The following is a 26,413-nucleotide window of genomic DNA, read 5'->3' as shown; positions in this document are numbered from 1 at the left end:
AGTGCTTATCCATGTGTTCATTCCTCAGGGTTTTCAACAAATACTTCTTGAACCACCTGCAAGGACAAGGTACTGTGAATAGCAGGCATGATCATTCCGTGCTGGTTGCTAGACAAGTTCAAAGAAGGCTAAGACAGATGAGGATGAAATCTAACAGACATGTCTCTGCCGTCTTGGAACTTGAGAGAGGCCAGCAACAGACAGGCCACAATGCTCAGAACCCAGTGTCCACATGTGAGTCCCACATGGGACACCAACAGGATTGGGTCATCCAGTAGCTCTGTCCTGCTGAAATGCCAAGTGTGCAATTCCAAGTTTAGCTCCTAGGTCTGACAATCCCTATTCTTCCTCATGCCAGTTAATCACTTTATCAAAGCATTAGCAGGAAAAAAACATTAAATCTTGTGCCTTATTGAAATGCTGACTCTACTTTTGGCTTGAGAAACATCCCTTAATTGAATGACAGTTATTTCCTGGAAACTCTGAATTATCTTATGAATTTCATTCTTTTCTGGCCTATTTCGAGCCACTTTTTCAGGCCTAAATAGATATTTGTTGCTTTTGCTGTGCAGAATATTTTCCCAGTCTTTGGGTCCTAGCCCCCATTTTCTTTCACTGCAGTGTCCCTCTCAACCCCACCACTCTTAGTCAGCTCAGTTATGAAAGAAGCTGACTCCCCCTGCTGCCCTGAGCCAATGTTCTCTCCATTGGCCATGAGGACTTGATGAAGGATGGACATGTGACTCCATCCAGGCCAGTGAGAATTCAAGCCAGACATTTTTTGAAGTCTTCAGACATAAAAGACCTCCTTTACCTTCTATAAGGTGTCTTATAGAAGGTGGTATAGGTACAGAGGTGCTGGCAACCATCTGACAACATGAGGGGAAAGTCTCACTGTTAATGGAGCCCACAGAAGTTGGGGGGCAGCCAAGAAGTAGAGAGACTGAGGCCTGATTGTAGGCCCTGGCTTTGCCATGATGAATGCCAGCTTTACCTTTGGACTTTTCAATTGTGTGAATCAATAAATTGAGGCGGGAGCCTCCTGCTCTTGCTAATCTCTTGGTTGCCTCACTGTCCTCTGTTTGGTTTCTCAGCATCTTTCATCACTTGTATAACTAATTGGTCAGGCATGGTGGCTCACACCTGTAATCCCAGCATTTTGGGGGGCCAATTCAGGAGGATTGCTTGAGGCCAGGAGTTCAAGACCAGTCTGGATAACATAGCAAGACCCCATCTCTATCAGAAAAAAAATTAGCCAGGCATGGTGGTATACATCTGTAGTCCCAGCTACTTGGGAGGCTGAGTAGGAGGATCACCTGAGCCCAGGAATTTGAGGCTGCTGGGAGCCATGTTTGAGTCACTGCAGTCCAGCCTGGGTGGCAGAGCAAGACCCTTCTCTAAATGAATAAATAAATAAATTATATTATTTGTTTTAGCTATTTTGAGCTGAGTTCCTATTATTCTCAAACAAAAGAGTCCTCACTGATACATGTCCTTGTCCCCAGACACTAGGCAGAAAACCATACAGGGAACCAAAGAACTCAATTTCTAAATATACCACACTTGGAAATCTTCATGCCTTTGTTTTTTTTCCAGAACTAATAATTTCTTCATTTTCTCCATGTTCCCACAGCACTTTATAGATGCCTAAAATTAAGAAAACTAATATTTTGTGTTGAGGCATTTTGTTTTTATATGTGCCTTGGAAGTTTTGAGCTGTTTAAGAGCAGGAATAACATCTTAATCATCTTTATATCTCTAACCCCTAGCATTACATTTAACATCTAACATGTCCAATACATGGTGGTCAAATAAAATTTACAGAGTGGGAGAGAAGTATGACATTGGTTTTCTCTCTCTGGAGACTTCCATCCCAGCATCATAGTCTTTTGTTTGACCTAATAATGGAGGTTCCCAGCGCTGGTGTCTTGGCTGGTCTTAAGCATGCGTGTTCTCAGATCCAATCCTAGACTTTTCCACTAATCTGTTCTGTATCACAAAGGGGATGGCCTTTCATGTGTCTGGCTTCTGGCAAGGTTTCATCCACGGGTACTGGTAGAAATTTAGTGGATACAACAAAGGGAGAACCCGGAGTATCTCTCCCCTCCTCTCTGCCTCAAGTAAGATCTTAGATAATAACTGTGTCTTTAAAAAAAATAACCAGATCCTACTACTCAGTCATACTTTCATTTCATCTTATCTGTTCCACAGCTCCTGGGCTCCAGGAACACTGCCTCCTCCTATGGAAGGTGGGACCTCCTGCTCTTGCTAATCTCTTGGTTGCCTCACTGTCCTCTGTTTGGTCTCTCAGCATCTTTCATCACTTGTATAATTAATCCCAAGTATTTACACCCTCTGTTTGGAATACTGAGTGGTTTCTGTCTTTTTTTTTGGAACCTGGCTGATACTATGCCACCTATTTTTTTTTAATGCCAGTATCATTTAATTATGTGTTTGTGTCTGGAGCCTTTAGACACATAATACAGTTATGTGTCTCTTCCATAACACAGTTATTTCCAGGAGTCCTTGTTAAAATACAAAATCTTTATGTAACATATTTTTCCTAAGTCATGCCTTCCATAAATAACTTAGGGCTGAGTTATGGTTCATCAAACCCACACAGTTTCTGCAACTCTCACTCTTTGAGCACAGCTAAGATAAACTGACCATTCTCTTCACCCAGAAGAGCTATATTGGAAGCAAATTCACTTGAAACAAGGAAGTTTAATGTACCCACTTTCTTCTGCTGGGTAATTCATTCTGGCAGAAGTGGTGAAGCAAGAAAATGTTGAAGATCTTCAGGCAGGAAGACTGCTGTCAGCCCATGACAGAGATGGGGGTCCTTGGTTGGTACAATTTCTCTTTAGGAAGGGAAAGACAGGTTTCTAGCCACACCAGAGAAATTGCCAATTAATTCAACTCAAAAAAGAGTGATTTCTATTCACCAAAATTGAGTATTTACTATACATCAGTCATGGTGCAAGGTGTTAGGGTACAGTAAGCATATAGGCAAAACTGTGAAGTGGTTCAAGTTCAGCTTGGTTATCCAAACACTCAGATCATTCACTCTTGTATCAAGCTAACTTTCCTTCTGTCAACAGTCTTTGGTCCTACCAAAACTTGACATATAAAGATCAGTTACACTCAAGTGCAAATCACTACTGGTAACTTGGAAAATTATCCTGAGTGGAGTTTGCATTTCAATGGGTATTGAAACCTTAACATAAAGGATTTAGTCTTCTTCAGTAAAACGTGAAAGAGCTTGGTGAGGTAGTTATCTGAGGGCCTGGATGCCTTCCCATCCTTTCAAATAAGACCACTATTTCTTGACCTATATTTTCTGCAGCCCCACTCAGAAGGTACTGAAAGCCTTTCACAAAATATCCCATTCCAATACCATTTTTGATAGAATGTGTGTGAGTAAAGCTACGTTCTCTGTAACCTTATGTTAGAAAAACAAAAAAGGACTTCCCTATGAACAGCTCAGCAAATATTTCAAAGCATACTCTTACTCTTACCCCAACCTCCCCTCCCCTTCTCTACCCCTCCCCTCCCCTCTCCCTCTCCTCCCTTCCCCTTCCCTTCCCTTCCCTTCCTGAAAATTTAGTCCAATGTCTATAAGATAGAGCCAAGCAAGGTGGACACTGCATGATGACAGGAGGGACAAGGCAGCCTAGCCCAGGACACCAGAACCCAAGCTGAGTGAGACAGGCATCTGTGCAATGTGTGGGTGAAAGGTGAAGTAGTAATGGGGTATTCGCTACAAACAGAAGAATGAGCCAAATCAGAAACTGTGTTGGGGATAATGGAAGCCAGGTTTCTCACTGTTGGAGAAGGAAATTACAAATATAGAAATGGAGAAAACTAGAATGAACACTGTAGTGCTGGATTAGAGTTAGAGATATGAGTGTGAAATCATGTTTTAATATAGATAAGTATAGACATGTAGATGTTTATATCTGCGTATACATTCTCAACCACTGTTTATCAAGAGGGCCTCAGAGTAGCAATGTTCCAATAGCAATGAGCTCACCCAAATCTTGGTTTCCTCAATACTATTTTCTACTAAAAGAAACCAGGGATCCTTGGTTCTAGGGCTAGGGAAAGAAAGGTATAAAATGAGCCAGGAACATAGGAAAGCTGCCAGAAAGTGAGGACATAGGGACATGACAAAAGGACACACAAGTCAGCTTGAAGGTGCTCCCGCTGGGCAAATCAACAAAAAATTTGAGCATCAGAATAAATAATAATAACAGATTACAGCCTGTTAAATAAAACAGGATCTCTAAATCTATGCTGGAAATAAATGAATAAATTACAGGTTTAATGAGGAACAGAATATTTATATGCTCTTAAAAGAATCCCTTCCCAACAAATATTTACAAAGGACAAAATAACTTTACAACAGAGACATCTAGCAGACACCATCTGATATAGTTTGGCTATGTCCCCACCCAAATCTCATCTTGAATTGTAGCTCCCATAATTCCCATGTGTTATGGGAGGGACCCAGCGGGAGGTAATTGAATCATGAGGGTGGTTTCCCCCATACTGTTCTCACGGTAGTGAATAAGTCTTAGGAGATCTGATGGTTTCATAAGGGGAAACTGCTTTTGCTTGATTTTCATTCTCTCTCTTGCCTGCCACCAGGTAAGATGTGCCTTTTGCCTTCTGCCATGATTGTGAGGCCTCTCCAGCCGTGTGGAACTGTAAGTCCATTAAACCTTTTTTTCTTTATAAATTACTCAGTCTTGGGTATGTCTTTATCAGCAGCATGAAAATGGACTAATGCACCATCTTAATCAAATGACAAAATGAACATACTCCATAAGAGCCAAATCAAAGTTGGGTGCCTGATTGCATGCAAGGAGAAGAGCACAGCATCACTTTTGTGGTATTCCTGCCAGCAACACATAATCTGAATCTAATCACAAAACACTGAACAAACTCAAATGGAAACATTCTATAAAGTAGCTGACCTATAATCTTCAAAAGTGTCAAGCTCACAAAAAACAAGGAGAGACTGGGAAACAAGTCCTAACTGAAGGAAACATGAAAACTAAATGGACAAGTTATTCTTGAATGGATTGGGTGGTTAATAATAAAGCCATGCTAATCTCATGGTTGTTTCAGCTGTATTATGATTATGTAGGACAATGTCCCAGCTTGTAGGAAATACACACTAAAGGTTGTGAAATGATGAGGAATCAGACTGGCAAATTACTTTCAAACAATTCAAGGGGAAAAACAGTTTTTTTGTACTGTGTATTTTTTCTCTGAGTTTGAAATTATTTTCTAAATTAAAAGTGTAAAATGTGGCTGGGTGTAGTGGCTTATACCTGTCTTCCCAGCACTTTGGGAGGCTGGGTCAAGAGAATCACTTGAGCCAGAAGTTCAAGGCCAGCCTGAGCAACATAGTGAGAGATTTTGTCTCTACAAAAAATACAAAAATTGGCCAGGTGTAGTGGCTCACACCTGTAGTCCCGGTTAACTAGGGAGGCTCAGTTGGGAGGATTGTTTGAGCCCAGAAGATCAAGGCTGCAGTGAGCCAAGATCATGCCACTGCATTCTAGCCTGGGTGACAGAGGGAGACCCTGTCTCAAAAAAAAAAGTAAAGAAGAAGTGTAAAATGCAATCTCATTGTGCGTAATGCGCATACATGGCCCTGACACAGTTGAAAGCTTTTCTCATTTTCTTTATTGTGGTTGAATCCAATTTAAATTAAAATATGAAATGCTTAACAATCATAAAATCAGTATTTGCTGTGGTAAACAAAAGAGATCTACACTAGTATTTACAACTCTTTAATTTGTTTAAAAAGGAGGCAATATAACCATTTTAACACATTTAAACCTTTTGCCTCTAGAAGATATATCAATTAACACACAATATTCAAGGAAATCAGTGCTGTATAGATATTTTTGGTCTATTAAGGTGCAATTTATAATACAGAACCAACACAATACTGAAGCAGAAACCATAAGTTACAAAGTAGTAACTCTCACAGACAGTAATTAGAACCCCTGTCCTACATGCCCCTCCACATATAGCAACTTACATTCTTCCAGAAAACAGGTTCTTTCCCTGACTAGGATACTTCACAGGTCTTTCCAAACTAAAGAAACACTTTTCCACTCAACACTGGTTTTTAAAAACCATTAGAACTTTTGGTTTTACAAGTTACAATTAATTAGTATTCCTTTAAAAAGAAACTATTTTCAAAAGACAATGTATTTTACTTGTTATATTAACTTATAGTGCATTTAATTTCAAGCAGAGAGATAATTACCAAAGACAGCAAATAAAAAATTTTTTAAATATTCAATTCATTAAATAATTGCTACAGATCAATCTTCTAAAAGCCTTAAACTAGACACTGAGGGGAAAAGAACATTGACCAAAGAATTAGCTTCACTCTTCAGGAGCTCATCTTATGCAACAGTATCCACCACTGTTACACAATTTACTGATATTCAGTTATTCTATCAACACGGCAGAATAAATTCAATTATTAAAATCTACATTCAAGCCAGGTGTGGTGGCTCACAACTGTAATTCCAGCAATTTGAGAGGCCGAGGCAGGCAGATCACTTGAGGTCAGGAGTTTGAGACCAGCCTGGCCAACATTGCAAAACCCATCTCTACTAAAAATACAAAAATTAGCCGGGTGTGGTGGCATGTGCCTGTAATCCCAGCCACTCAAGAGGCTGAGGCAGGAGAATCATTTGAACCCGGGAGATGGAGGTTGCAGTGAGCCAAGATCGTGCCACTGTACTCCAGCCTCAGTGACAGACTAAGACTCCGTCCAAAAACAAAAAAAAAACAAAAAAAAACTACATCCAGAGGAAGAGAGATAAAAGAAACAAATCTTCCAAATCAAGGAAACTCAGGTAAACTTATGTCAGAAGATGACAAAAGGGTAGCATGTGTTCAAGTCTTAAATGTGATTATTAAGTTAATGCTTAGTGTCCCTCTGTTTGTACCAGAAAGGGCAAAAGAAACACCACTCTTATCCTTCACCAAAAACAAACAAAAATAAAAGATAATAGGTTAAAATTAAGATCAAGCTCCACCTGACAAAATTAAGAGACTGAAGGACATGTATAAAAAGAAAAGTGAGTTTTGCCATGGAAATGAGTTGAAGGGTTTATGGACCCATTCTATATTTATATGAGACTGAAGTAATTTTTTCCACAAATTGACAGAACAATGACCCACACAAAATTGCTTCCTGCTTTGCTGCCAAAACACCAGGCAAAAACGGGCCACATGTTCATCATGCCTAAGGGCAGCTCTGACTGCACTGGTACTATGTCATATGTTAGTTTCAAACCAAGTTAATGTCATAAACTGGCAGGCACTGCATCTTGTCAATTATTAGCCAGTTCATTATTAACATTACTGAGTGAATATCATATATGGTATAATTCATTACAGTGTAAATAGCCATTTATATCCTGGGGAATTCCTCACCAAGACTATATGGAATATTTTTGATCAGTGGAGGAGACACATTAAGTAGCTTTATCCCATTGCCCTTAACTCTTATATTGTTCATTTTATTAAAGGTATCATGCAATGAGAGTTAGCAATATAATCACTGCAAAAATTATCCTTATAGGAAAACGTAATCTACTTTTTATGAACTGGAATAACAAAATATTAAGCAGAATCACTTGTTACAAAAAAAGCATCACAATCCTATCATTTGAGATATAAGTTTCCATCTAACATCACTGAGAGCTGTGACTAATTCAGTCTCTATGGCAAGGTAAAATTTTTAATACATTCTAAAGTTTGCAATGTTAACTATATTTTCACACAGGTTGAAGTAGACATATTTCATGGGTTTTAATATATGTCAAACAATGCTTACTGTGAATATCCATGAGTGCAAATAAGAGACAGATAAGTTAGTAAAGAGCTCTGGGTCAGCTGGGCTTGATGACCCATGCCTGAAATCCCAGCACTTTGAGAGGCAAAGGCAGGAGGCCTACTTTAGGGCAGGAGCTTGAGACCAGCCTGGGCAACATAGCAAGACCCTATTTCTTAAAAAAAAAAAATTTAAAAATTAGCCAGGCATGCTTGTGCATGCCTGTGGTCCTACTTACTCTGGAGGCTGAGGTGGGAGGATCACTTGAGTCCAGGAGTTGGAGGCTGCAATTAGCCAAGACTGTACCACTGCCCTCCAGCCTGGGTGACAGAGTGAGACTCTATCACTAAAAAAAATAAAAAAAAAAGAGAGAGAGATCTGGTTTTCTTTGTGACACTGAAGCTCATACTAAAATGTTTCCTATAAATTAGAATTCCACAAAAGAGTTGTTGGCAGAGACTTTTGTGCTTTGTTTTGTTTTGTTGTCTCTCCACAGCCATGTTTGGGGGAGTTCATTGGTGACAATTTTTAATGGAAAGAGGCTCTCACTTTGCGGCCCTTTAGAGGCTGTGGTGGGCGGTGATTGCTCACCAGAAAAGCTGCTGCTTCACCCTCCGCTGTGCACAGGAGACTGCGAAATTTGGCCAGCTGTAGAAGAAGAAAAGAGTTAGCTTCAGCATAGAAATTCCCACCAATATTAATGAATTACCCTGCATAAAGAAGATATATCTATAACCAGGAACAAAAAATACTGCAATGAAAATTTTCTGTTACATGTCATATATAATAAAGCAACTCTTTTGCTAAATTCTCATCACTGTACAAATACCTACAGGTTCCAAAATTAAATGTATAAGCATTTTTAATTTGAGACCAGCCTGGCCAACAAGAGGAAACATCTAGAGTGTGGTTTAAAGAGTAAATATTTAGAAATCAGAGAATGTTTTTCAATGTTTTTCAATCTATAAACACACATACATACATACATTTTATGACAAAAATGAACTCAACTATATATGCTGTTTTGAAACCTAATTTTTTCACTTAGTATATATCCTAGCCATCTTTGCATGCCAATACATATCAACCTACATCACTATTTTTTGTTGCTGAAAACTTTTCTATTATAAATATGTTTTATAAATTTTTAACAATCCCTTGGTGGTTTAATATCACTTATTAAGATTTAGTACAGGTCTAAAGTGAAGTTGGAAAAATTAAAACTAATTTTATCTTCTCAAAAATATGCACCAAAATTATACTGTCAATTAATAAAAGAAAATCTTTGGTGTTTATTTTGTTTTACTTTGATGAAGACAAATTATTAGGAATGAGAACCTACATTCTCTAAATTTTGTTAACCATCTAATCTCAGAGTCAACCAAATTCACATCCTTTAGGTTTTCATCAAATACCTGATGCCTAAAATGTTTCTTGTACAGTACTAACCAGGACGGGGGCAGAGGAGAGAGAGGTCCTTTATAAGAAATAGGCAACAGTTTATAACCATGCTCTATGGCAATAGGATCAACCATCATACATACAAGCAACCATGTTTTCCACATGTGATATTTTGAGGGTTTTATTTGTTTGTTTTTTGAGACAGAGTCTTGCTGTGTCACCAGGCTAGAGTGCAATGGCAGAATCTCGGCTCACTGCAACCTCCACCTCCCAGGTTCAAGCAATTCTCCTGCCTCAGCCTCCTAAGTAGCTGGGACTACAGGCACGTGCCACCGCACCCAGCTAATTTTTGTATTTTTAGTAGAGATGGGGTTTCACCATGTTGGCCAGGATGGTCTTGATCTCTTGACCTCATGATCCGCCCTCCTCAGCCTCCTAAAGTGCTGGAATTACAGGCGGGAGCCACTGCACCCGGCCATTTTGAGGTTTTTGTTTTTTTTTTAAGTACAGATATGGGAAGGAGACAAATGTTTACAACGTACTATTACTCATGTTTCATTAGACCAGATCATTATAGCTAAAACCACATGAGGCTGAAGAGAATCTCTGGTCAAGTCAAATAGCAGAGACTAATAAAATCTAACCTCTGAGACCATAGGAAAGATACCTAGCCTTCTGCAGATCATAACAATCCAGGTCTGTCTGGAGTGGTCATTCCAGATGGCTGTGCAGGAATTCTGAGTCCTGAATTACAGCATGGGTCCACAGGCCTCATCAAGCAACCTGCCTCCACAGTGATACCGCTGATTCTTCTGAAGACGTTGGCTTTATTTTTCTCCCACAACCCTAGCTCCTGCCCCTCTGGTAGTTCAACCCCTCTGGAACTTGATCATGGCTCCCTGTCCCAGCAGCACTTTCAGCTCACCAGTCTAGAATTGGATCTGACTTCAGCTCTTTCTCCGACCAGCCTGTGTATTTTGGTAAGAGTCCCTAGACCTGTCCTGGTATCTCGCCAAACCCCTTCCCCTTATAACTGGGTCTCACAATCATTTGGCCCAGCTAGGTCGACCCTGTATTTGCCAGTCCCCATTCAGATTTGTTTCTGTTGGCTCTGGGTGTCCTCCACTACTGCCCTGGCCTTAAAATGCACATCCCTGGCTGGTTCCCACCAGTCTTATCCCCTTATGTGGTTCCAGGCTTTATTCAAGCAGCAAAGCTGCTCCTCTGTCACTAAGGCTGATTCAGTACCTACAGGTTCCCAGTAGAAATGTTCCCAGTTCAGCCTTGAGGCTGAAGCAGGTATGACCTGTTTTGCTGGTTTCCTTGACTCTAATACTGAAATTTTAATTTCATTGTGTAGCAACTCCAATAAGCTAAAATACTCTTCTATGGTTCTGTAAACAGCTTTATGCCACTCTCATGCTCAAACCTCTTTGATAGCACTCCACTGCCTGCCAAAATTGAGTAATAATAAAAATAAGTTCTGTTATGGAACATAATGGACTAGGCACTGTGTTAAGTGCTCTCCATTACCTCAGTCAAAATACCCCTGTCAATAATACATAATTATCCCCTTTTACAGATGAGAAACTTGAGGGGTAGCTGAGAAGTTTCAATAAATAAGCCATCTTGACAAGCCATGCACTAACCACAGAGAAACTTGTTTTCTGTTTACTTATTTTCCCCTATCCTTTTAATTTACTTTTTATTATGTAAATGTTCAAAAGTACACAAAGGTAGAAAAAGCAACATCATAAATCACCAGGCATCCATGACCTAGCTTCAACACACAGCCAATTTTTCCATCCATTCTCCGACCAAAGCTCTCTTTCCATTTGCCATCCTACCCAAACTAGGCTATTTTTAAGCAAATTCCCAACATCGTATCATTTTAGTGGAAACATTTCCAAATACATCCCTATAATACATCACATTTCTAACATTTTGGTAGGTGCCCAAAACAAATGTGTCAGCATGGCTTCCAAGCCCCTTGTCCACTCAGTTCTAACTAACCTTCCTAGATGGATCTATTATGTCCACACGCATGTCTCACTCTAAGCCAGTTTTGGGAGGGGTGGTCCCAAAGCACCTGAATGAAAATACTTTGAGTTAATTCTTAAAAATTCAGATCCCTGGACCCTACCCCAAACTTGTGAATTGGAATTTCTAATAAGGCCCAAGGATTCACTTTTTTTTTTTTTTTTTTTTTTTGAGATAGAGTCTTGCTCTGTCACCCAGGCTGGATTGCAGTGGCATAATCTCGACTCACTGCAACCTCCGCCTCCTGGGTTCAAGCAATTCTCATGCCTCAGCCTCCGGAGTAGCTGAGGTTATATATAGGCAGGGGACACCACGCCCAGCTAATTTTTTTTTTTTTAAGTGAAGACAGGGTTTCGCTATGTTGGCCAGACTGGTCTTGAACTCCTGGCCTCAAGTGATCCTCCCGCCTCAGCCTTTCAAAATGCTGGGTGAAAGATTCTCCCCCGGGGCCTGAAAGTTTAAGGGAATGAATAACTTCCTCCCTCCTCAGGCCCAGTCCCAAGGTGCAAGGCCACTTGCTCCAGCAGCGTGCGTCAGCAAGATAGCATAAGCAGGAAGAGAGCTGGCTGGGAGACACATACCCTCTGAAGACTGAGAGGGAGGCCGTCCAGGTACTACGCAGCAGTCACGTCAGACTGGGACACTTCCTGTTTACAGAGAACTATAAAACCCCTGCCCCGTCCTCACTTCCGGCTGATGCCATTTTAGGCCTCAGCCCGTCTGCACCCAGGCGCTCATTAAAACCTCTTGTTGCTCCACACCACCTCGTGTGCTGTTGGCGCGCTCTCAGGGTTCGAAGTGATACAAGAGCGTTGCATCTGGTATCAGTACCCGCCCTACTGTCCACAGCAGCCCCTCTGAGCTGTTTTGAGTGTTATTGTGTCCGGAATTGGTGGGTTCTTGGTCTCACTGACTTCAAGAATGAAGCTGTGGACCCTCGCGGTGAGTGTTACAGTACTTAAACGCAGCATGTCCGGAGTTTGTTCCTTCTGATGCTAGGATGTGCTCAGAGTTTCCTCCTTCTGGTGGGTTCATGGTCTCGCTGGCTCAGGAGTGAAGCTGCAGAGCTTCCCGGTGAGTGTTACAGCTCTTAAGGCCGCGCATGTCTGGAGTTGTTCGCTCCTCCCGGTGGGTTCGTGGTCTCGCTGGCTTCAGGAGTGAAGCTGCAGACCTTTGCAGTGAGTGTTGCAGCTCATAAACGCAGTGTGGACCCAAAGAGTGAGCAGCAGCAAGATTTATTGCAAAGAGGGAAAGAACAGAGCTTCCACGGTGTGGAAGAAGACCTCAGTGGGTTGCCACTGCTGGCTCCCGCAGCCTGCTTTTCTTCTCTTATCTGGCCCCACCCACATCCTGCTGATTGGTCCATTTTACAGAGAGCCGAGTGGTCTATTTTGACAGGGCGCTGATTGGTGCGTTTACAATCCCTGAGCTAGACACAAAGGTTCTCCAGGTCCCCACCAGATTAGCTAGATACAGAGTGTCGATTGGTGCATTCACAAACCCTGAGCTAGACACAGGGTGCTGATTGGTGTGTTTACAAACCTTGAGCTAGATAAAGAGTGCCGATTGGTGTATTTACAATCCCTTAGCTAGACATAAAGGTTCTCCAAGTCCCCACCAGAGTAGCTAGATACAGAGTGTCGACTGGTGCATTCACAAACCCTGAGCTAAACAAAGGGTGCTGATTGGTGTGTTTACAAACCTTGAGCTAGATACAGAGTGCTGATTGGTGTATTTACAATCCCTTAGCTAGACATAAAGGTTCTCCAAGTCCCCACCAGAGTAGCTACATACAGAGTGTCCATTGGTGCATTCATAAACCCTGAGCTAGACACAGGGTGCTGATTGGTGTGTTTACAAACCTTGAGCTAGATACAGAGTGCCGATTGGAATAGTTACAATCCCTTAGCTAGACATAAAGGCTCTCCAAGTCCTCACCAGACTCAGGAGCCCAGCTGGCTTCACCCAGTGGATCTCGCACCAGGGCTGCAGGTGGAGCTGCCTGCCAGTCCCAGCGCCATGCGCCCGCACTCCTCGGCCCTTGGGTGGTCGATGTGACTGGGCACCGTGGAGCAGGGGGCAGCGATCGTTTGGGGAAGCTCGGGCCGCACAGGAGCCCACGGAGGTTGGGGGGAGGCTCAAGCATGGCGGGCTGCAGGTCCCGAGCCCTGCCCCGGGGGGAGGAAGGCAGCTAAGGCCGGGCGAGAAATTGAGCACAGCAGCTGCTGGCCCAGGTGCTAAGCCCCTAACTGCCCGGGGTCCGCGGGGCCGGCCCGCCGCTCCGAGTGCGGGACCCACCGAGCCCACGCCCACCCGGAACTCGTGCTGGCCCGCAAGCACCGCCCGCAGCCCCACTTCCCGCCCACGCCTCTCCCTCCACACCTCCCAGCAACCTGAGGGAGCCGGCTCCGGCCTTGGCCAGCCCAGAAAGGGGCCCCCACAGTGCAGCGGCGGGCTGAAGGGCTCCTCAAGTGCCGCCAAAGTGGGAGCCCAGGCAGAGGAGGCGCTGAGAGCGAGCAAGGGCTGCGAGGACTGCCAGCACGCTGTCACCTCTCATTATCAGTCTTTCCACTACGGAGGAAAAATACAACAATCCTTTACTTACCATACTTATATAGAAAAATCCTGTTATGGAACCTTGATCGAGGAATGTGTTGAATCGGGGAAAAGTTAATATAAAGTAAAAAATCTAGGAGTATCCGGTAGTCGTAATGGGACTATTTGTCCAAAAGGTAAGCAGTGGCTTTGCTTCACCACAATTGGACAATGGGGAGTAAAAACTCAAGTGCTAGAGGATACAAAGAGAGAACAGATTATAGCCAAAACAAAAGCCAACAACTCCCCTCCAAAATCACCCGTGGCATTTCCATCCCTTTATACAAAACTACAAGCAGACGTATCGCTTCCCAAGGCAGGAAAAAACCTGTTTGTAGATCTAGGAGAACGCATCGCCCTTACCATGAATGTGTCCAATTGCCAGGTATGCAGGGGAGCCCGTATGAGTCAACAGTGGCCATGGTAGGGGATAGACATTCCCCCTTACTTACTAGCATCCCAAAACTCCAGCCTCACTTTCACTCCTCAGGAATGCCCACAGTCCTGCACACTTCCAGTAACAGGGACGGTGTGCATATCCCGCAAGTGGAATGATAAAACTCATCATGCCTAGGTGAAAGCCCCTGTCACCAAACCCTAACAGTCAATGCCTCCACAGCAGAGGGGTGGCCAAAATTACCCCACGGAGCTTGGTCTCCTTCTAACTTAAGCTACCTCAATTATGTCTTGTCAAAAAAGGCCTGATACTGTACAAACACCACAACCCTTATGCCGCATACCCCAGCCTAAGTGCACTGTGGGACAATCCTATGAACACCAGCCTCCAATGGACTGCCCCTGATGGATTCCTTTGGATATGTGAAACCCAGGCATACTCATGGCTACCTTATCCCTGGCAAGGTACTTGCTTCCTAGGCACAATTAAAGCTGGATTCTTTTTACTTTCAAAGCAGGCAGGCAACACCCTCGGAGTCCCTGTGTATGATAACCTAACCAGAGAAAAACGATCCTTGGAGGTAGAAGGGAGCCAAAGATGGCAAGAGGACGAGTGGCGTCTGCAACACATCATCGAATATTACGGTCCTGCCACTTGGGCTGAGGATGGTTCATGGGGTTATTGCACTTCCACATATAGGCTAAATAGAACAATTAGACTACCAGCTGTTCTAAAGATAATCACTAACCAAACCGCCTCAGCCCTAGAAATGCTCTCGCAACAAAACCAAATGCTTGCGGCAATTTTTCAAAACAGGCTACCACTAGACTACTTATTAGCAGAAGAAGGTGGGGTCTATGGTAAGTTTAATATCGCTAATTGCTGTCTTAACATAGACGATAACGGAAAAGCGGTTCTAGAAATCGCTTCAAACATCAGAAAAGTAGCCCATGTATCAGTCCAAACCTGGAAGGGATGGGACCCAACAAACCTTCTAGGAGGGTGGTTCTCTAATTTAGGAGGATTTAAAATACTGGTAGGGACAGTAATCTTCATCATTGGGTTCCTCCTGTTTCTCCCCTGTGTTATCCCACTAGCCACCAAAAAATCCAGACGGTGCTCCTGCTACAGCGACATGATGGATACAAACCCGTCTCTCAAGAATACCCCAAAAAATTAAGTTTTTCTTTTTCCAAGGTGCTCACGCCACCCCTATGTCACGCCTGAAGTAGTTATTGAGAAAGTCATCCCTTTTCCTTTTTTCTATAACCAAATAGGAATGAAAGATTCTCCCCGGGACCTGAAAGCTGGGCAGGGGGTGAATAACTCCTCCCTCCTCAGGCTCAGTCCCAAGGCACAAGGCCACTGGCACCAGCAGTGTGTGTCAGCAAGATAGCAGAAGCAGGAAGAGAGCTGGCCGGAAGACACATACCCCCTGAAGACCGAGACGGAGGCCGTCCGGGTACTATGCAGCAGTTACATCAGACTGAGACACTTCTTGTTTACAGGAGACTATAAAACGCCTGCCTGCCCTGTCCTCACTTGGGGCTGATGCCATTTTAGACCTCAGCCCGTCTGCACCCAGGCACTCGTTAAAACAGCGTGTTGCTCCACACCACCTCGTGTTGTCTGTCGGCGCACTCTTGGGGTTCGAACCAATACAAGAGCCTTGCATCCCTGGGGGCAGACAGGCTGAGGCCTATGGCGTCAGCCCCAAGTGAGGATGGGGCAGGGGTTTTACAGTCCTCTGTAAACAGGAAGTGTCCCAGTCTGATCTGACTGCTACATAGTACCCGGATGGCCTCCCTCTCGGTCTTCAGGGGGTATGTGTCTTCTGGCCAGCTCTCTTCCTGCTTCTGCTATCTTGCCTGACGCACGCTGCTGGAGCAAGTGGCCTTGCGCCTTGGGACTGGGCCTGAGGAGGGAAAAGTTATTCATTCCCTTAAGCTTTCAGGCCCCGGGGAGAATCTTTCAGTGGGATTACAGGAGTGAGCCACTGCGCCCAGCCTGAGAAAGAGCTGTTATCCAGACTATATAAAGAACTCTTGCAAACAACCCAATGTAAAAATGTACAGATGATTTGAACAGATACTTAACAAAAGGAGATACATACATAGCCAATAAGCATACAAAAAATGTTCAAAATCATTGGTCACTAGATAAATGCAAATTAAAATCACACATGCCCACTAGAATACCTAAAGTTAGAAAAACTGACAATGCCAAATGCTTGCAGGGGTATGAAGCAACTAGAAATCTCATACGTTGCTGGTGGGAATTTAATATGACACAGCCACTTTAGAAAACAATATAGTAGTACTTTACTCAGCTGGGCACAGTGGCTCATGCCTGTAATCCCAGGATTTTGGGAGGCCAAGGCGGGCAAATCACTTGAAGTCGGGAGTTTGAGACCAGCCTGGCTAACATGATGAAACCCTGTCTCTACTAAAAATACAAAAATTAGCTGGGTGTGGTGGCAAGTGCCTGTAATCCCAGCTACTCAGGAGGCTGAGGCAGGAGAATCTCTTGAACCCGGGAGGTGGTGGTTACAGTGAACCAAGATCACACCACTGCACTCCAGCCTGGGCAACAAAGCGAGACTCCTTCAGAAACAAAAAGAAAAGAAAAGGAAACAATGTAATAGTACTTTACAAAATTAAACAAACATGAACTAGTAATTCTAGTCCTAGGTATTGACACAAGACATAAAAATGTGTCCACACAAAAGTGAGCAAATTACTCCTAATATCCATATATGGATTGCTATTATTCATAATGGCCAAAAATTAAAAGCAAGCCAAATGTCCATCAACTGTGAAATATATTTTTTAAAAATATAATATATCCATACCATGGAATATTACACAGTAATAAAAGTTAATGAAATGGGTCAGGTACCATGGGTCACTACCTGTAATCCCAGCACTTTGGGAGGCTAAGATGGGTAGATCACTTGAGGCCAGGAGTTCAAGACCAGCCCAGCCAACATGGTGAAACCCCATCTCTACTAAAAATACAAAAATTGGCCAGGCGTGGTGATGCATGCCTGTAGTTCCAGCTACTCAGGAGGCTGAGGCAGCAGAATCACTTGAACCTGGGAGGCAGAGGTTGTGGTGAGCCAAGATCTCGCCACTCCACTCCAGCCTGGGCAACAGAGCCAGACTCTGTCTCAGGAAAAAAATAAAATAAAATGGGTGAATCTTAAAAAGATTATACCATTAAAAGAACTCAAACACAAAAATCTACTGTATGACTCATTTAAATTCTAGTGACAGCACATCAGTTGTTGCCTAGGACTATGGTGAAGAAGGTGAAGGACTGCAAAAGAGCACCAGAAAATTTTTGGCTGAGATCTCTATCTTTTATTTATTTATTTTGAGATAGAGTCTTGCTCTGTTACCCAGGCTGGAGTACAGCGGCGCAATATGGGCTCACTTCAGCCTTGCCTCCCGGGTTCAAGTGATTCTCCTGCCTCGGCCTCCTGAGTAGCTGGGATTACAGGCATGCACCACCATGCGTGGCTAATTTTTGTATTTTTAGTAGAGATGGGGTTTTACCATGTTGACCAGGCTGGTCTCGAACTCCAGACCTTAGGTGATCCATCCGCCTTGGCCTCCCAAAATGCTAGGATTAGAGGTGTGAGCCACCACAGTGGTTGAGAACTATATCTTGATTGTAGTAGTTGTAGCATGTCTATATACAGTTACCAAAATCAGCAACCACACACTTAAAATTCATGAGTTTCACTGCATGCAAATATAATAAACAAAAAAGAGTTTTTTTCTTTAAAAGGAGAATAGAAACAAAGCCAAGTATTTTGCACATTGAATTTCAGCTAAGTAACCCAATTTTGATGATTTAGGATAACCCAAAGAGACTTGGCAAGAGAAGTTGTCCCTCCAGAGAAAATGACAGACTTGTCTTCAAAAGGATCAGAAAATAGTACATTTATCTGCTCACTGGCATGGCAGTTAAGAATTTAGTCCTCAATGAGTGACTCTGAAAGAGAAAAATGGACTTAAATCAAGAAAAAGAAAATGAAAAACATCTGATTTGCCCCTTAGGTCAAACTGTGACTTGGCAAGAAATTGTGGAGAAAACCCTAGGAAAAAATCCGGAAAACACTACACTTAGTATTCATATCTCCATAGGCATTTGTTGATTGTGACAGTATCTCAGACTTACCTTGTTTTTGATGAACTTGGCAGTTTTAACAACCTTGAGAATACTGACTAGTTTATAGAATGTCCCCTGACTGGGTTTTGCCAGATATTTTTTCATGGTTAGACTGGGACTGAATTTTTTTTCTTTTGCTTTATTCTTTAACTTTTAAAACCACCACAATATCAGATTTTAATAAATTGAATTGTTACTCAAATAACTTTCTCAATTTGGTTAAAAACTAAAATACGTGAAAGTGTTCCTACTATAGGAGATTTAAGTGAATGCTCCAAAGTGAATTAACAATCACATCAGAGCTCTAAAACATAGCTATTATTTTATATACTGCTCTGCATAAAAGCCACATTAATAATAGTAATCCATTGAGCCTCAAATAAGACAAAGTAGTGAATCCTCAGCTAGGCAGTCACAATTCCTAAACTTGCAGGTAGATATTTTTAATAAGGTTAACTTTATTTTTAAGGAACTAAACTATATATTTTGATATATTCTCTTCCAAATCACTGGTGGATTGAAAACAAAAAACGAAACTAAACAAAAAGTTATTTTCCAAGTGGCTTTAAGAAATAACAGTGTCCTTGAAATATGAGGGAAAACAGGATTCCCTTATTAACTACCTTGATGTTATAGTTTATTCACTCTTAATATTATTCAGTTCAAATTTAATAAAGAAATGTAAAAGTAAACCATTTAGCATGTGACAGGGAGAAAAATGAATTCCCTTATTAAGGACTCTGAATCAGTAACAGGTCATTTTTCTCATGATACAATGATAGAAAAAATTCACAGGAGTTTTCATGTCAGTCAAGCTCTGGATTTCTACATAGACCTTTGTAAAATGTTTTTAAAAAGTATACACTAGGTTATTATTTGCCTTTAATCCTAAAGACAAGGTCAACAAGGAGAAACACCCAACAGAAGGAAGGATGTGTTCAATGCCCCAAGGGGAAATGCTGCCTGAAATGATCTCGGTAAAGGTGGGCCAGCTCTGGTATCATTAGGAGGAAAAATAAACAGGTAGGCAGGTGGGCAAGCCCAGTACATGTGTACTTTATTAGCTGCAAAAATTACTAGACTGTGTTCTTGCTAAGATATTGCACCTAATGCAAAAAGAACAACAAAAACAAAACCAATGAAGAAGCACAGCATCCAAGAACACACAGCATCCACCCATCAGATTGGCCAGCCCCATGGTTCACACCTCAAGCACAGTTTCTGAACATTAAAGACTGGATATACTGGCTAGGTGCAGTGGCTCATGCCTGTAATCCTAGCACTTTGGGAGGCCGAAGCAGGAGGATCATTTAAGGCCAGAAGTGGATCACTTCAAGACCAGCCAGGGCAATAATGCAAGACCCTGTCTACACAAAATTTTTCAAAAAAAAAATAAGCCAGGCATGGTGGCATGCACCTGTAATTCCAGCTACATGGGAGGCTGAGACAGGAAGATGAATGGCTTGAGCCCAGGAGTTCAAGGTTGGAGTGAGGTATGGTTGCACCGACTCCACACCAGCCTGGCTGACAAACTGGATATCCTGAGTCTAGCAGACTCTTGGCCTACAGGGGAAGCTCCATAAGTATTTAACAGAAGAATGAGTGAGTAGATGTCTACACAGAAAGAACCTCCCTACAGCCTCTCTGCAAATGCTTAAGCATTAAGCCCCTCAGACAGCCCAACAAAAGTTTTTGTCAACAAATGCCAAAAGATCAACAATTCCTCCTCTCCCTCTCATTCCCCTCCCCTTTCTCTCTCTTTCCTCTTCTTATAATTATAGTAAGAACACTTAAATGAGATCCACCCTCTTAACAAAAAAAATTTTTTTTGAGACAAAGTCTTGCTCTGGAATGCAGCGGCATGATCCTGACTCACTGCAGCATCAGCCTCTTGGGTTCAAGCAATCCTCCCACCTCAACCCCTTGAGTAGCTGGGACTATAGGCATGCACACCACACCTGGCTACTTTTTGTATTTTTTGTAGAGACAAGGTTTTACAGTGTTGCCCAGGCTGGTCTCCAACTCCAGGGCTCAAGCGATCCACCCACCTCAGCCTCCCAAAGTGCTGAGATTACAGGCAGGATCCACTGTGCCCAGCCTACCCACTTAACTACCTTTTAAGTGTACAAAACAACAACTTCTTACACTTAGCAGGCACACATTTCTTAGGGCACTGCACCAATCACTGTCCTCAAGTTTCACTTGGAAATTTGTAGAAGCAGGTGTGGGGACTAAGGTCAGAAAGAAAAATGTCACCTTCTATAAGTAGCCGCTCTCTGATTTTTTTGTTTGTATCTCAGCCTGTTTATATCCCCATTTTTCATTTTTATCTCAGCCTGTTTATATCCCCATATCAAACAAACAGCAACAAACCAAAAGCAAATGATTATAGTGCTCAAAATGATGCTTTACTTTCATCAGTGTCGCTATGTACATTTCTAAGAAGTGGCAAATAAATCATCTAATCACAGGTCAAATACGAAAGGGACATAGGTCTCATCTAGCCCAACGACCCGTCTGATGAATAAAGAGAAAACAGACTTCAAAACACAGTAGAAATTAAGGGCAGGGTTGAAAAAAAAAAAAAAAAAGCCCAGTTTCCTCTGAGGGAATCAGTATCAACCTGGAAGAGATTATGTACCTGTTGAGAGCTGATGTTTATAGGTTGCTTTAAAACAATCCATGTGACACTCTCAAGAAGAGGTGGAACTGTAAGAGAACCAGGATATGTCCAGTAGTCCCAGGATGGTGGAAGCAGAGACAATAGGTCAAAATTTGTGAATCGAGTTTGTTTACCCTGGAGGATCAAAAAGAATTCCCACAAATTACAATGGGATAGCTCTACATAGACCTCAAAAAACATACATCCATGTACTTCCATTATAATTCCATAAACAATACAGAATATCTGCATCTAGAATTATGTAATATCTTCCTTTAGTATCTTTAAAAAAGCATCTACATCTTAAAAATTTTAGATAAAGTAACATATCATAGATTTATTTAAGAAGCATAAGGTTTGTTTTCATATAAGTGGTCCCTTAAATGTGTTACAATTAAAGGCTTACTCTGTAATATAATACCAGAGACTAATTATGCATAAGTATATTTATTCATGTTTATTTTAGGTAATTTAAGACCTTTACATTCAAAAGATAAGTGGTAATAGGTTACTTCTGCTTTTTTTCATCAAGTATGTTGCAAACTTCAAAGCAGGCAGCATATGTCTAAGTCTTTAAAGGAAGATAAGAGAATGTGGGAGAGAACAAGAAATATGTTAATTATTAACAGTAATTCATTTTACCTTTTCTTTAATGGAATCCAAAGTGTCAGTAATCTTTTGCAGTTGGGAATTAGGTTCACCAATCTAAAAACATGAAATTTCAAAAGAAATGGTTACTGTAGCAGATCAAGTCTGAATCACTCAATTTCAGCCACTATTTAAAAATTATTTTTTAAAAAAACCTTAGCCAGCACAGAACATACAGTGATTGTTCTACAACAAAGCTTCTCTTTTACCTGCCAGCCTTATCATGCCAGAAGGATCTGAACAACAAGATAATATTACAGGGTTCCTGTACTGAACTTTCAGCTTAGTCCCAAAACTAATAGAAACAGCTTAATATTTGTTAAGTTTTATCAGTGTTTAAGATGTAGGTTAACTTGAGAGAAACTTTGCATAAGACAGTCTAACAAATAACCTGCACTACTAAGCTAGATGTGACAGTCAGCCCCTCAATTCAAACGGACAATGGTGGCATCAAAATACTAGATGCAAACATCTCACACTTGCAGCCTAAAATGATTTGAGGTCCCAAATCAAGGGAATATATCATCATAAGCAAACTCATCATAAATTATAGATACATAAATGATCCTCTTTTCATTATTACAGGTGATCTGAATCTACCTGAAGGTTTTAAAGCACCCGGATCCTGCCGCAACCACCCCTACTTGGTGTCCAAAGGCAAGGAATTGTTGCCATCCGTGAAGCATTCTCTGTTCATGAGTTACAACACATGGAGAGTATGGGGTGTGACAAAGGGGCACACCTACAAGAATGTGGAGGCAGAGGGAGGTGAGAAGCCCAACCTGTTCCCAGGTATGATGACAATAATTGTCTAACCACATGTGAACGTTAGATTAAAGGAAATACAATAAAATTTTTTTAAAAACCAGTGAGCACATTGGGACAATATGTCATTGTGGTGAGACCAGTGTTTCAAGAATCAGGAGCTTGAACTTTATTCTGTCCTAAATAGTATACAATTAGGAAGAGCCCAGAATAAATGTTTTCTTCCAGTATCTCAGTTGTTATTTCTGCTACTATTCTTGATGTTGATGCTGCTATTGTTATTCACATAAAAATGATCAATGGACAATAAGAAGACTTATAAGACAATGCTCCTAAATGAATATATAATTTTTAAATATTCATTTCAAAAGGAAACTGCTACACCTAAAATGAATTTACTATTAAACAAGATGGTTGAATGTCTACTTCGTGACTGAAGCTCTTTCTTCAACAAGGCTGATCATTTAAAATGAAAACAGTAGATTCTCACCTGTAAAAACACTCCCAAGACAGCCAGTCCATCTGGTTCATGAGCTGCCTCAACAAAGCTGGGGTATTTGTCTGAATTCCAGTGAACAACATGGAGCTGAAAGGGAGATATACAACATAGTAGGAATGTTTTGTTAGACATCCTGAAAAACATAAATGCAAATAAAACATTTACAAATTTTCTGGTGCTGTACACTTATGTATAATGTATTTATCACAAGAATCTTGGACAGAATCCTCTTGTTTATTTTTGTCCAAAAGTGAAAGTTCATGCAGTGAAGGATCACAGTCACTTAACTAGTCTGTGGTCCACTATATTAAAGACTATATAGAATGCCTTGAGCATCCTAGCTGGACATGGTAGTACATGACTGTAGTCCCAGCTACTCGGGAGGCTGAGGCAGGAGAATCACTTGAACCCAGGAGGTGGAGGTTGCAGTGAGCTAAGACTGCGCCACCACACTCCAGCCTGAGCAACAGAGCGACACTTCATATCAGAAAATAAATAAATTTTTAAAAAAGCCTTGAACATCCTTCACAGCCCCTTCAGCCCTAACAAACTCCAGCTATTGCTCCCAAGTAACTGGAGGCTCCTCCAGGCCTTCCACAGATGAGACTGCAATGGAGCAGCCTCAAATCAAATCCCGGCTGGCAGTAAAGTCCATGGAAGAGGGCTGAGCTCACAGATGGGTGGAGAAGTCAACCTCCGACACAGTAGGTTTTCCAGGACAATCCCGCTACCAAGGACAGTGAGGCTGTTTCTAAAACTGTCCAGTTAAATGTTTACTACCTGTCATTTTAAGACTATTTATGGCTTGAAAACACAAAGTCTCCTTATGAGTAATCATGTAATCATGTTAAGTAGCATTCAAACTTTTTTATTAAGAGCATTTTTAATTGGCAAATCATAACTGTATACATTTATGGGGCACAATGCAATGTTTTAATATATGTATAAATGTGGAATGATTAAATCAAACTAATTAAAATATTTGTCATCTCGCACATAAAAATGCTTATCATTTTGATACATTTACCACGTTCTATGAATATGTTTAGATACTTTGCTGAGAGCAAGTTTCAATGGGGGAAAAAGAGGTAGAAAATGGGAGGGTAGCTGATGCTACTAAGGAGGGAGATAAAACAAGGGGGAAGGGAAGGAGGTGGGGGGCCTGGAACTCTGGAAAACAGACTTCACCCACCTCACAACTCTACTCATATGCAGCGGCCTTATGCAACACCTAAAGGTATCCTAAATGTTTTACCATTGCAAGCAATACGGTATCTCGAACACACCCACAAGTGTGAAAGATTTCAGAATAACGATAAAGGAGAAAACCACTTTGGGGGAGTCTTCCCCAAAAGGACAAAGTGAGACAGAAGCCAAAGGGCAATGCGACATGCCTAAAACATTTAGCTACAATCATAAATGGTGATCAAGCCATGGTGTCCAAGGACCTGATATGAGGGACTGACTTCAGACAAGATCTCCTTCTAATGAATCCCTTTTGTTTTATCAGGAAGGAAATACTTATGTGAGCCTTCATGCCCAAATCATCTTTCTAGCTGACTGTTACAGAGAGGATTTAGCATATTCAAATACATGTTTATCCCATCCTTTAAATATAACTTACAGGAAATTTATAGGAGATAAATATGTCTTACAGGAAATTTATAGGAGATAATTTCTGGATAGATAACAATTATCATAAACAGTCAACTATAAAACAGTGCATCATGCACAAACAATCAAGGAAGACTGTGCAATATAAAAGTAGATTCCTGTAGTGCCATGTTCCAAGTTGGTGTGAGATAGTTGGGGGAGGAAAGAAACCTGAAAACACCGGGTGATGAAACAGAATTCATTTGGCTCACATGAGACAGATGACATTCACTGTCAGGGAAGGGCTGATAAGGATGTTAAAATTGTTTTAAGTGGCTCTGTGCCAATGCACCAGTTCTCTCAGTAAGAGATGAGACCAAACAGAGAAAGATATAGAATGACTTCGTTAGGATCACAACCAGAACTGATTAAAAAATGAATGTGTAACTAAAGAGAGATGAATGGACATATATATATCCTATATATAACCATCCTTCTGCTAGTTAAAAGTACAACTATTTAAACTATGATGGGAAACTAGGCCAAGAAAATATTTTTCTTTCTCTCCTACACACCTTACTTAAGACTGGCAGCAATACCTTCACAGAGGAACTGATACCACTTCTATTAGCATTTATATTTTAATTAAAACAAAAAAAAAGCAAACTCACATTTCCTGACTAACAATGACAAGAGCAGTGATTTGAACTGAATGACAAGAAATTGTAACCACTACAAAAATGAAAATTAGATTCTTCTCTACTGGCAACTAATTTCTAAATAATATTATTAAAATTTAGCAGTTTCAAATTCCATATTAGTGGTATGCAAAATATACTGCCAAATACTATGCCAAAAATCCATGATGAATGTTGAAATCAGTTTCATTATTAGCTACATATTTAAAATGCTTGCTATATATTCTGCCTAAACTTTCATTAGATAAAGTTCCAAACACAGAATGGACGATTAGCCTAGTTTTGTAGACGCCTAACTTTTGGGATAAAACTTTTCTTGATTTAGATCACTTTAATCTCTCTGTAATATTATAAACCATCATATTAGGCCTAAAATTAAAGTTGTATATGTTGCAACTTTAAATGTCTTTTTTCTTTCTTTCACTTCTCCTTTTTACTCACAAGGGAACGTAACTTGATGATGGTCATGAACTTTGTACAAAAGTGGCTGGAAAAACTAATCAACTCCTTGGAATCACGGAGCTGAGCACAAAGGGGTTCTTTTGAACATGAAACCAAATGCAAGGACTCCCAAATGCCCCCATCTCCAGCCTTGACCTCTTCTTAAACTGGAAGTTTTTATCCAATAGCCTACTTGAACATGAGCCTAGAATGCCTAACAGACATCTCAAACTTAACCTGTCTAAAACAGAGAGTGAATTCCTCTCTGCAACCTGCTCCTTCCCAGACTTGCACATTTCAGTAAATGGCACCACCAGCCTCCAATATGCTTACATCGAAACCTTAAGAGTGTTTCTAAACTCCTGTTTTTCCTTCCTTCAATCATGACATCCTTTTCATCAGCAAACCCTATTGACTTTATCTCCCAAACATCATAGATTTGTCCAGCTCTCTTCGTCTCCACCACCCCCAGAGTCCAAATTACTGTCACTGCTCACTTGAATGACTTCCATAACCTTCTAGTTTTTCTCCCTACTTCAACATTTGCCTGACAGCGGCCTCCTCTCTACCCAGCAGCTAGTTATATTTTGTAAAATATAAAGCAGAACATGTCATTCCCCTGATC

At 41.3% G+C, this 26,413-nt stretch overlaps 1 protein-coding gene across 1 annotated transcript in view; it reads right to left on the bottom strand.

Annotated features, from left to right (window-relative positions):
* Positions 1–5,677: 5,677 nt before the first annotated feature.
* CA13 (carbonic anhydrase 13) overlaps positions 5,678–26,413 on the bottom strand; it is a 38,616-nt gene continuing 17,880 nt past the window's right edge. The window contains exons 4-7 of the mRNA NM_198584.3: positions 23,048–23,143; positions 21,787–21,849; positions 21,124–21,279; positions 5,678–8,521 (exon numbers count right to left, since the gene is read on the bottom strand). Of these exons, the coding sequence (NP_940986.1) occupies positions 8,402–8,521; positions 21,124–21,279; positions 21,787–21,849; positions 23,048–23,143 (435 nt within the window). The 3' untranslated portion in view covers positions 5,678–8,401. The remainder of the gene's footprint in view (positions 8,522–21,123; positions 21,280–21,786; positions 21,850–23,047; positions 23,144–26,413) is intronic.

Source organism: Homo sapiens, chromosome 8, assembly GCF_000001405.40.
Source record: "Homo sapiens chromosome 8, GRCh38.p14 Primary Assembly".
Taxonomy (NCBI): domain Eukaryota; kingdom Metazoa; phylum Chordata; class Mammalia; order Primates; family Hominidae; genus Homo; species Homo sapiens.
The sequence above is the reverse complement of the archived record's forward strand: the minus strand, read 5'-3'. Positions and strand labels throughout refer to the sequence as shown.